Source organism: Homo sapiens, chromosome 3 (genome assembly GCF_000001405.40).
Source record: "Homo sapiens chromosome 3, GRCh38.p14 Primary Assembly".
NCBI classification, from domain to species: domain Eukaryota; kingdom Metazoa; phylum Chordata; class Mammalia; order Primates; family Hominidae; genus Homo; species Homo sapiens.
Window position 1 is genome coordinate 143,510,597 of NC_000003.12, and position 12,678 is coordinate 143,523,274.

At 37.6% G+C, this 12,678-nt stretch overlaps 1 protein-coding gene and 1 pseudogene across 4 annotated transcripts in view, besides 1 other annotated feature; both read right to left on the reverse strand.

The window, feature by feature from the left end:
- The window catches only part of SLC9A9 (solute carrier family 9 member A9), a 583,247-nt gene that overhangs the window by 245,375 nt on the left and 325,194 nt on the right, over positions 1-12,678 (reverse strand). The window lies entirely within an intron of this gene.
- On the reverse strand, positions 6,487-7,717 carry ST13P15 (ST13, Hsp70 interacting protein pseudogene 15; annotated as a pseudogene).
- Positions 7,011-7,541: an enhancer, noted in NCBI's record as "NANOG-H3K27ac-H3K4me1 hESC enhancer chr3:143236449-143236979 (GRCh37/hg19 assembly coordinates)". NCBI's record gives its function as "activates a minimal SCP1, AML or CMV promoter by ChIP-STARR-seq in naive H9 embryonic stem cells {active_cell/tissue: H9 hESC(naive)}" and the evidence as "EXISTENCE:reporter gene assay evidence [ECO:0000049][PMID:30033119]".

Here is a 12,678-nt window from a genome sequence, read left to right on the forward strand (position 1 = left end):
CGTCTTCTTGTACCCGCTTCATATTACTAACATTCTACTTTATCTCTTTAAGGATACTAATTATGCCCATTTTAAATTCTTGGTCCATATGTTCCAGTAATTTTGCTTCATGTTTATGTTCTATGTTCAGTTTTTGGTCTGTTTTCTACTGGTTGTATGCATTGAACATCTTGCTGTTTTGGCCTGTGAGTCACATTTTCCTGGGGTCAAACTTGTTAGGCAAGGTGTGTGGGGAAAGGCCCATATACACACTGGAATATCCCCTCAGTAATGTTCAGAAGGAAAAGGGTAAGCTCCAGGGTGGAGAAAAGCTTTAACACAACCAAATTTTTGACCATCAATGTCTGCCTGTTCACTTCTCCAAGAAATTCCTGTCAGGAATTTGCCTTTAAATCTTTAGAATGAAGCAACACTGAAAAGACACGATTTCTTCAGATCCTCCATCTTCCATTAGCCCAGAGAATTTGGGGGTGCAGAAGATCGAGAAAAGAATGCCCACGGGCAATTCTCGCACTTTCATCAAGTTGTTTGGCCCCAGACACCACAATGGATGCCTTGGGCTGGTGCAGTGGGGGTGGGCGGATGATCACCCCAAAACAGTCAAGTAAAGAGGGGAAGGAAGAAGTTAAAATCTTTGCCTGAACCTCTCTTCCTACTTCTGTTTCTGGCTACTGTCCAAGCTATGGCCATCCTTTCCCTTGCCCCCACGACCTTTAAGACAACCTTGGCCTTTCCAGGTGTTCTCCTAGTTAATTATTACTTCTTCAGCTCCCAGCTTCCTCTCAGTTATGCAGTCCCTCCAGTTTTAATTGGGGAGGAAGGAGCCAGCAGCTGAAGCTATTTGCTATCTCGTCAGCACTGATTTTTGTATTCTTTTTTGAAGTTGGAATTGCTGATTGAGAATGATAAATGGTATTGAGGTGTTCTCTACAGGGAAATATGCTCAGTTTAATTTGAGTCAAATTACAGCCCGTGTTAGGAGTACTAAGCCAAGGCTCAGTGGCCCAAGAGGCAGACCACTTGTGCAGTATTAACTCAACAATGTTTTACTCCAGCAATACTGGAGGACCTTGTCCAGGCATAACTGGGGGTATGACGTAGTCTGTGGCCTAAGCCCTCAGCCTCTCTGTGAAGTGGCACACCCTCCTTTCCTTGGATGAGGAAATCATTCATTTCAGATTTCTTGGGACTGACCTATTTTCAGACACTTTGGTCTTTTATCTGCATCTATACATAATTGTGTCTTTCCACCATTTGTTCTATATTTGGTCTAGAAAATAATAGTCATTCTACCCAAAGACATATCATTTCTTATATGCCTTATACTTCAGATGCTGAATACCCTGGAATTTCACCTTGTGGTAAATCAAACTGAATACTCCAAAAAAAGGGTAAAGTCACAAAACAGGCAATTTCTCAAACAACATGTATGGATAGCCCAAAAACTTGTCTGTAAGCTCAGCAAGAGCACCAACCATATTCGTTTTGTTTGTCACTGAACCTCAACTCACAGCAGAGAACTTAGCATATCATAATGCTCCATAAATATCTGCTGAATGAATAAAATTAATAAAAGGCAACTCTCAGGAATTGCTTGGTGGCACTGAAAGTTTGTATAATCATCCAGCACGGAGATTAGGAATATGTAATAAAACTTTATAGGATCTAAAACGTTGAACTGAGCAATTACACTTACTAGAATTTATCCTAAGGAAATAATGTAACAAGTAGACATAGATTTACATTTAGGATGTTAACTACTTAAAATGAAAAGGGTGGAAAACCACCAAAACATATATCAAAAAGAGAATACTTAAACTACAGGCATACTACAGGAGATATTGTGGGTTTGGTTCCAGACCACTGCAATAAAGCAAATATAGCAATAAAATGAGTCACACACAATTTTTGGTTTCACAGTGTATATAAAAGTTATGCTTACATGATACTGTAGTCTATTAAGTGTACAATACCGTTATGTCTAAAAAACAATGTACATGGCTGGGTGCGGTGGCTCACGCCTGTAATCCCAGCACTTTGGGATGCCAAGGCGGGTGGATCACGAGGTCAGGAGTTCAAGACCAGCCTGACCAAGATGGTGAAACCCCATCTCTACTAAAAATACAAAAATCAGCTGGTCGTGGTGGTGGGTGCCTGTAAGTCCAGCTACTTGGAAGACTGAGGCAGAGAATTGCTTGAACCCGGGAGGCAGAGGTTACAGTGAGCCAAGACTGTGCCACTGTACTCCAGCCTGGGTGACAGAGCGAGACTCTGTCTCAAAAAACAAACAAACAAAACAAAGCAAACAAAAGAAATGTACATGTATTCATTAAAAATGCTTTATTACTAAAAAATGCTAACAATCACCTGAGCCTTCAGTGAATCATAATCTTTTTCCTAGTGGAGGGTCTTAACCTAGATGTTTAATGGCTCCTGACTGATAAGGCTGGTGGTTGCTGAAGGCTGGGGTGGCTTTGGCAACTTCTAAAAATAAGGCAACAATGAAGTTTGCTAAATTGAATGACTCTCCTTTTACAAAAGATTTTTCTGTAGCATGTGATGCTATTTGATAGAATTTTACCCACAATAGAACTTCTTTCCAAATTAGAGTCAATCCTCTCAAACTCTGCGGCTGCTTTATCAACCAAGTTTATGTGATATTCTAAATCTTTTGTTGTCATTTCAACAATGTTCACAGCATCTTCACAATGGATTTTCTTGAAAATCCATCTCAAGAAGCCACTTTCGTTGCTCATCCATAAGAAACAACTCATCTGTTCAAGTTTTATCATGAGACTGCAGCAATTCAGGCTGTTTTTAATTCTATTTCTCTTGCTATTCCTACCACATTCGAAGTTACTTCCCCCACTGAAGTCTTGTATCCCTCAAAATCATCCATGAGGGTTGGAATCAACTTCTTCCAAAGCCCTGTTAATGTTGATATTTTGACCTCCTTTCATAAATCACAAATGTTCTTAATAGCATTTAGAATGGTGAATCCTATCCAGAAGGTTTTAGATATACTTGCCCAGATCCATCAGAGGAATCACTTTCCATGGCAGCTATAGCCTTGCAAAATGTATTCCTTAAATAAGAAAGTCAAAATTACTCCTTGATCCATGGGCTGCAGAATGGATATTTGTTAGCAGGCATGAAAACAACATTCACCTCTTTGCACATAGCTATCAGAGCTCTTGGGTGACCAGGTGCATTGTCAATGAGCAGCAATTTTTTAAATTTATTTTTTATTTATTATACTTTAAGTTCTAGGGTATATGTGCACAACGTGCAGGTTTGTTACATATGTATACATGTGCCATGTTGGTGTGCTGCACCCATTAACTGATATACCTAATGTCATTTACGTTAGGTATATCTCCTAATGCTATCCCTCCCCCGTCCCCCTACCCCAGGACAGGCCTCGGTGTGTGATGTTCCCCTTCCTGTGTCCAAGTGATCTCATTGTTCAATTCCCACCTATGAGTGAGAACATGCGGCGTTTGGTTTTTTGTCCTTACAATAGTTTGCTAAGAATGATGGTTTCCAGCTTCATCCATGTCCCTACAAAGGACATGAACTCATCCTTAAAAAGAGCAGCAATATTTTGAAAGGAACCTTTTTTTTTTTTTCTGAGCAGTAAATCTCAATGGCGGTTTCTTCAAACAAACCATGCTGTAAACAGATGTGCTGTCATCCAGGCTTTGTTGGTCCATATATAGAGCACAGGCAGAGTAGATTTAGCATAATTCTTAAGGGCTCTAGGATTTTCAGAATAGCAAATAAGCATTGTCTTCAACTTAAGTAAACAGCTACATTAATCCCTAACAAGAAGGTCAGCCTGTCTTTTGAAACTTTCAAACCAGGCATTGACTTCTCTCCAGCTATGAAAGTCCTACATGGCATTTTTGTTCAATAGAGGCTGTTTTATTTACACTGGAAATCTGTTGTTTAGTGTAGCCACCTTTATCAATTAGCTAGATCCTCTGGATAACTTGCTACAGCTTCTACATCAGCACTTGCTGCTTCACCTTGCACTTTTATGTTATGGAGACAGCTTCTTTCTTCAAACGTCATGAACAAACCTTGCTAGCTTCAATCTTTTTCTCTGCAGCTATCTTGCCTCTTAGCCTTCACAGAATTGAAGGGAGGGTCTTGCTCTGCATTAGGCTTTTGGCTTAAGGGAATGTTGTAGCTGGTTTTATCCTCTATCCAGACCACTAAAACTTTCTCTATATCAGCAGTAAGACTGTTTTGCTTTTTTTTGTTATCATTTGTGTGTTCACTGGAGTAGCATTTTAAATTTATTTAGAAAACTTTTCCTTTGCATCAATAAATTGGCTGTTTTGTGCAAGAGACCTAGCTTTCGGCCTGTCCTGCCTTTTGACATGCCTTCCTCACTAAGCTTAATCATTTCTAGCCTTTGATTTCAACCCAGACATGTGCAACTCTTCCTTTCACTTAAACACTCAGAGGCTATTTTAAGGTGATTGGTTAGCCTAATTTCAGTGTTTTTGTGAATAGGGAGGCCAGAGAGGAGCAAGAGAGATGGGGGAATGACCAGTTGGTGGAGCAATCAAAACACAGACAACTATTAAGTTTGCCATCTTATATGAACATGGTTCATAATGCCCCTAAATAATTACAATAGTGACATCAAACGTTGTGGATGACAGCTCATCATAACACATATAATGAAAAAGCTTATGATAGTGTGAGAATTAGCAAAAGGTGACACAGAGACATAAAATGAGCACATGCTGCTGGAAAGATGAGGCAGAGAGGCTTGCTCCAAGCAGGGTTGCCACAAAATTTCAATTTGTAAAAATTGCAGTATCTGTAAAGCACAATAAAGAGAAGCACAATAAAATGAAGTATGACTGTCTACAAAAGGCATTACACTTCTGAAGGCTCACCAGCATATACGATGTTTTCTACAGTTTTTTTCCCACTAGATACTGTATCACATAGAGGAAGTTCTTCCCTTTTATACCTTGCCAAACATTTTTAAATTAATATGTCTTGAATGTTTTCTATTAAATGCGTTTTCTGTATCTACTGAGAGATTATTTTCTCTTCATTTGTTAATGTAGTAAACTGTACTCACAATTTTCTAATATTATTCTTATATTCCTGGGATAAATGCAGGTTAGTCATATGTATTTTTTTACATTGATGAATTTGGCTTGTTGATTGTTTACAACCTTTATATCTCTGTTTACGAGATTGGCATATATTTTTCATTTGTGTTACTGACATAAACTGATCTTCATTTCTGGAGTATTATCCTAGCCTCATGAAATGATTTGAGGTGCATTTCTCTTTTGTCTTTTCTCTTTCACGGTTTGTATAAAATTGGAGTGATCTATTCCTTGAAAGTTAGGTAGAACTCACCTAGGAAAAATTCTGGGCCTTGTGTTTTTGGGTGAATGGATTTTTAGCTACTGACTCAATTTCTTGAAAGATTGCAGGGCTATTTAGGGTTTTTTTCTTCCTTCAGATAGTTTAGTCAGTTATACACTTCTAGGAAATTGTCCATTTAAGTTTTCTGATGTATTTGCATAAACTGTACACGACATGTTCTTACTTTTTAATCTCCACAGCACCTCCAGTCATGCTCTTCTCTTATAGCATTGCTTATTTTTGCTCTCTCTCTGACTTATCAAAATTGTCTATTTTATTTGTCTTTTCAGTGAAACACTTTTGACTTGGTTAATCATCTTTATTTCAGTTTTCTTATCTATTTCTTTTTATTTCAGCTTTTATCTTTATTTTTTGCTAAATTCTGCATTGTTTGGATTTGTTCTGTATGTTCTTTTTCTAACCTCTCACACTGGTATCTTAACTCGTTAAATTTAAGTCTCTTGTGCCTTTTAACATAAACATTAAAGGATATAAATGCCTTAATTTCAATTAAATGCTACATTTAATTAGCTGCATCTGGAAAATTCGGGTATGCAGCTTTTATCGTATTTATTTTATAAAATTAATTACAATCAAGCAAATACATAAATCTGCTTTTAAAAATTAGAGCATTACTGATGACAGAGTCTCCTTTGATTACCCTTCTTTGCTTCCTGCCTCTCCTACCCTATGTAAAATATTTTTATTGAGAGAGGTATATTTATTAAAGTAGTAGTGTATTTTCATGTGTTTTAAAATAGGTATCATTCTGAAAATATGCTGAGAGTAAATTTGCTGGTCATAGGTTTGTACAGGATTACTTTTAATAGATACTACAAAATTGTCCTTTAAATGAGTATATAATTTTTCATCTTCTTGGGTAGTGTGTTAGAATATCTGCTTTCCTAAAACCTTACCAATTCCTAATCTGAGCAACTTGAAATTTTTTTCAGTCCTATGAATATTATCTTATAATCATTTTAATTTGTAGTCCCTGATTAATAGTGAGTTTGAGCAATTTCTGTTTATTGAGTAATTGAAATTCTTGTTTAATAAATAGCATGTCAATTTCTTTAACTTTTTTTTTTTTCCTTCAGCAAGGGCTTTATTTATCAGAAGGGCATTACGCTTGACCTCCAAATTTGGCTGACAATTTACTGATGAGATTCATAACCTTTGAGTTGCTCTGGTATTTTGACATACTTGCTGGGTTCTGAGCCACATCCTGGAAGGCCACCATAACTTCTGGATCCTGCATGGCGGCAAGAACCTCTGGATCACTAAGAATTTCATTGAGTCCAGGCATTCCGGCCATTCCAGGCATGCCCCCTCCCATTCCAGGCATTCCTCCAGGAAAATTACCAGGCATTCTCCCAGGAAAGCCACCTGGAAAAGAGCCATACTGTGCTCCTGACTGTCGTCTGGCTTCTTCCTCCCTCTGGGCTCTCTCATGCTCCTCTTGAGCCTTCTTAACTCGTTCTGTTCTTTCTTTGATCTCTCGCTCTTCACGTTTTCGCTCATACTTTCTCCGATGTTCTGCAATTTTCTGTGCCCTAGGTTGAACTTCTTTCAGCATTGCACTAGCATCTTCATCATAATCCAATTTACAGGCAAGGGCAAGATCATGGGCTGCTTCTTCCTACTGGCCTAGAAGTCTGTGTGCTTTCGCCCGCCACTTGTAAGGCTGAGCTGAATCAGGATTTATTTCAATGGCTCTGTCACAGTCTTGGATGGCAGCACTTGGCTTCTGTAATTTGACGAAGACACTGGCCCTCTTGGCATACAAAATGGCCAAGCAAGGATTCAGCTTGATGGCATCTGTGAATAAGTCAATGGCTTTCTGGAGTTCACCATCGTTTAGGGCTTCAATAGCAGCCACTTTTTAATCATTTGCCTGATCCATCATCTCCTCCGTTATCTCCGCATTTTCATCTCCCATTTCTTAAGGAGCATCAGTGTCTGGTTCAATCACACCTTCTTTATCAATTTCTAGATCACTTTCTTCACTTGACGGTTCTTCTGCCTTTAAGTCTTCCTCCACCTTCTTACTGTCAGGTTTTTCTTCCTTGGTATTTTCTTCTGATTTAGCTTTCTGAGTAGCAGGTGGTACTTTACCTCCCATGCTCTCCACCCACTCCCTCAGGAAGCGCATTTCCTCGGTGTGCAGAACGCTCGGATCCTCCTTACACATTTTCACAAAGGCCCGAAGCTTGTTCACTTTGCGGGGGTCCATGGCAGGGAGGTGGTGGGCGAAGCTCAGGGGCTGCAGCCCGGTTCCAGGCCCAGGCGCTGGCTCAGCGTGACCACGCAGAAAGGGCTGTTTAACTACTTTCTTTAGATTTTTGTGTAATATTATTTGTTATCTATTGAGTAGATATTATGGAATGTTTATAACTGTGAAATATAAAAACATACAACAAATATCTATATGCTCCTCATACAGTCAAAGAGAAATAACATGACCTTTATATTTCAGAATTGCTCTTTACTCCTCTGGGATTCCATCCCATCGTGTCCACCGCTGCAGTAATTACTGTCCTAAATTTTGTGTCCCTGATTACCTTGCTTTTCACTATACTTTTATTGCATATCTTAGTATCACAGAAAAATGTATTATTTGGTTTTTTGTTTTTCAAATTTACGTAAGTGAAATAATGCTGCATATATTGCTCAAAATTTAGTTCTTGAAATTCACCCACATGGCTTGGCTATAGTTATGATTAACTCATTTTCCTTGCTATATGATATAAATAAGTGGAAATGTGTTTCCACATATCTATTCTATTGTTGATGGACATTTTGGTTGTGTCCAGTGCTTTGCTATAACAAACAGTGGAACAGTGGAACTTTGACTATTCTTGTACTTGTCTCCTGATGTGCATAGGAAGCACTTAACTAGATGGTATTTACTAGGGGTGGAATTCCTGTGTCACAACAACATTTCTACCTGTAGTATGTAAACAAATGTTCCAGCTGCTCCACATCCTTGCCCAAACTTGACATTTGTTGATTTATTTATTCATCCAACAAAAAGCAACTGAGGACCTACTGTGTGCCAGCTACTGTTGTAGGTGCTGGAGATGCAGTAGTGAACAAAACTGACAAGAAAACCTGCCTTTTTGGAACATAAATTATGAGGAAGAGCCAATAAACAAGACAAATAACTTAAACATCTAGTATATTAGATAGTTACAAGAGCTAAGGTAGAAAAAGAAAGCATAAAGGGAGATCAAATGTTGAGGTAGGTGTTGAAATTTTAGGTAGTGTACAACAAAGGTATCACTGAAAGGAGGCTTATTTGGCTTTTTCTTTCCCTAAAAAAATAAAACAGTGAGAGAGCAAGCCAGGTGGACATTTGGAAGAGGGACACTCTAGTTATAGTGAAGAGCAAGATAAAGACCCTGAGAAACATCAAGGAACCTAGAAAGGTTGGAGCAAGAAGTAGAATGGAAGAAGAGGAGATAAGTGTGGGAATCAGGAACCAGGTGACCTAGGAATGTACAAGACTTAACGATGATTCTGGCTTTTAGTTTGGAAGAAGAGAAGGCACTAGAGGGTTTTGAGGAATAAGGTGACATGATCTGATAATGCTTTAACACCATCATTCTAGCTACTCTATTAAGATAGGCCTAGAGAGGGTCAGGGCTGAAGTAGAAAGCCTGGTTAGAAGGTTATTGTCATAGTCCAAGTGGAAGATGTTAGTGGCCTGGACCAGCGTGGGGGCAATGGGGCGAGTGAGAAGAGACACAATTCTGTATATATTTTGAAAGTAGAGAGAGGTGAGAGGATTTTTTGAAGGACCAAAGTTGGGATGTAAGAGAAATAAATCAAATAAGACATCTGCATTTTTGGCCTGAACAAATAGAAGAATAGAATTGCTCCTAATGAGGAAGTTAATGCTTGAATAGGCGTTTGGGTGAGTGAATAGGGAGGAAAGGGGGAGGCAATTTTGGATGTGTGAAGTTTAAGATGCATAATAGATATAGAAGGCAAATGGATATGCAAGACTACAGATTAGGAGAAGACTCCAGGCTGGAGATGTATATTTGGAAACTATCAGTAAATAAGTGGTATTTAAATTCATGAGTCTAAATCAGATCATCTAGGAAATGAGTTTAGATAGAAAACAGAAGTCATCCAAGGGCATCCTATAGTCATAATTGCTAATATGGTGCTATGGACTGATGTTTGTGTCTCCTTGAAATTCATATGTTGAAGCACTCACTAATCCCTACTGTGATGGTATTCATTTGTGGGAGGAAGTAATTAAGTTTGAATGAGATCATGAGACAAAGCCCTTATTATGAGATTAGTGTCCTAATAAGAATAGAGTTGAGAGAGAGACCTGTCCTCTGTCCATCATGTGCGGATACAGCAACAAGGTAGCCACCTGCAAACCAGGAAGAGAGTCCTCACCAGATACAAATCTACCAGCACTTGGATCTTGGATTTAGAGTATAGAAATGTAAGACATAACTGTTGTTTAAACTACCCAGTGGTATTCTGTTATAGCAGTCCAAACTGATAAAGATAGTTAACAAATAGATCTTATAACATGCCAGGTCCTGTTATAATACTTTACACACAAACACATAACTCATTTAATTATCACAATAATTCCATTAGGTAGGAAGAATCATTAGCCTCACTTTACAGATGAGAAAACAAAAGCCCAAAGAGGTGCAGTGACTTTCCCAAGAGCACAAAACTAGTATATGGATCAGGGATCTGAACCCAGCTAGTCTGACTCCAGTCTGTGCTCTTAACCTTGTACTGTATATTTCATTTTTCCTAATCTAGTAGTTGTGGTTTAATTTGAACTCCCCACAGGACCACTGATGTTGAACATTTTATGATATACTGATGGCCGTTAAGATTTCCTCTCCTACGAAACACCTGCTCATTTATTTTGCTGATTTTTAAATTAATGGGTAGCTTATCTCCTATGGAACTGAAGTAATTCTTTATTCTGGACACTGATCCTTTGACAGTCATATGTCAAATGGCAAATTTTTCTCCTGTTTGTGACTAGAATTTATATCATTTTAAATTCTTTAATTATTTAAATTAAAATAACTTTGATGAGCAAAAGTTCTTTATTTTAAGGTAATCAAATTGACCAATCTTTTATAATGTTTTGTGCTTTAGAATTCTTTCCAAACTGAAATGATAAAGACTGTCTTCTAAACAATTTATGATTTTTGTTTTTCATATTTAAATCTTTAATAAAATCTAGGTAAATAAATGAGAACTAACCTATACTTATTGAGTCAAGATAGCAGCTACCCTTTTTCAGGGAGAAGGAAGGGGTCACTCAAAGGGGCCTGAAGGGGGCTTCTAGGAGGCTGGTAATGTTATACTTTGTGATCTGGATGCTGGTTATACAGTTGAGTTTAGTTTGTAAGAATTCAATAAGTTCCATACATATATGCGCTTTTCTTCATGTATAATTCAATAACAAGTTTAAAAAGTAAAATCTGACAGTGTTTCCCTTTTGATGTATGAGTTTAATTCATTTACAATTTTGTTTACTATTGATATATTTGAATTTATTTCTACCACATGCTTTCAAATTACTCTGCCTTTTTCTATACTTTTATATTTGTTGCTGTTTCCATTTCCTGCCTTCTTTTGTATTGATTAATTTTTTCTTTCTTATGTCTCCTCTGTGTAGAAAGTTATATATTCTATTTTGATACATGTATTTTCCTTGGGTGGATTACTCTTAATACCCCTTATAAGTACTCAAATTCCTTCAACCTGTTTGCTCTTTATTTGAATAATTCATTTCTTATGTTTTTGTTTTCATCTTTCATTTCTTTAAGTATATATATGCAAACTTTATAATCTTTAGTTATTATATTATATAAAAATCTTGAGGTCTAATTCTGTTGTTTGCCACTCTGCTGTCTCTCAATGATTTGTTTCCTTGCAGATTTTAGATTTTGGATTGTGAGCTCGTGTTGGTGGGGCTGTAGTGAAGGTGACATCTTTGTGCTCTTGGCTGAGACTGTGGTCTTCCAAAGATGCTTTTTGACTGTTTTAGCCAGTTGTTCCAAGAATACTTCCAACCTAAGATTCTGTTTGAAATTGATTTTTCAGTTTGTGTCTCTCGACCTCATAGCAATATAAACTTAAACCACAAACCTCATAGTCAAACTTGAGGTTTAAATTTCTTAGGAATACATCTTTCTCCATCTAAAACACACCAGTACTTTCTGAGATATCGTAGATACAGTTGCTCACATTTAAGAACTATTTACCAACAAATATATCCCAAAAATCAGACTTGAAAAGAGTTTAAAACCATTATTTGTATCCCTTTAATTCAATCCCTATTTATTTCTAAATATTAGTTGACTACCTTGTGCCAATATATACAATTCTTGCCTCCAAGGATTTATGGTCTTTTTACACAGAAATGCCCAAAATCTAATATGGCCACCACAACTTCTCCTTCCTATACTCATGACAGGCATTTAGTTGGTCCCAGCTCTTTTTCCATTGATTCTAGAAACTGTCACAGACTGCACCTTCACAACATACTATCACTTTATATGACTTGTCACTTGGCATCCCCTATCATCTCATCTTCCCTGTCTAGGAGCAAGATCTGTAGCATTTATATTCCCACCAAATATAAATAAACCAGCTTCCAAGATCACAAAAGACTGGGCATTTTCAAGGTGTCAGGAAAACAGCCAGACCTACTAAAGGCTTCCCTTTTCACCTTAACATCAGCCCTTGTATCTACCTATACTAAGACAACCTTGCCACCTCATGCCGTTATAATCAGTACACTAGAAAACTCTAAAAATATAAAAAACTGTAAGAGGAAATATGCTAAAAATTCCAATAAAACACACCCTAAATCATTACCCTGAAAAAGAGAGAAAGGTTAATAGAAAGAAGAGACAGGGTCTGCTAAGTATCTCATTAGGCCCACTGCCTGCCTCCCATTACATGCACCTCCTGATTCTCATTAGGCCTTCGTGATTTCATTTGGGTCCCAGGTCATTGCTTATTTTCATATGGGGACTATATAACAGGGTCTCTTCCAGTCCCAGAATCCCATGGGGAGAAAAAGAGAAAATGTCAATAATTAATGAGCTGTCAGGGAGAGAGAGCTTTAGCACCTCCAGAATCATATAAAAATTCCTAGTCCATTTGTCTTGGGAGTGACTAACAAAAGGCCAGCATTGAACTTTTTCGAATGAATTATTATTATTGTTATTATTTTTACAAAACAATGCTTAGCTTTGCTTTCAAAGTGTATGA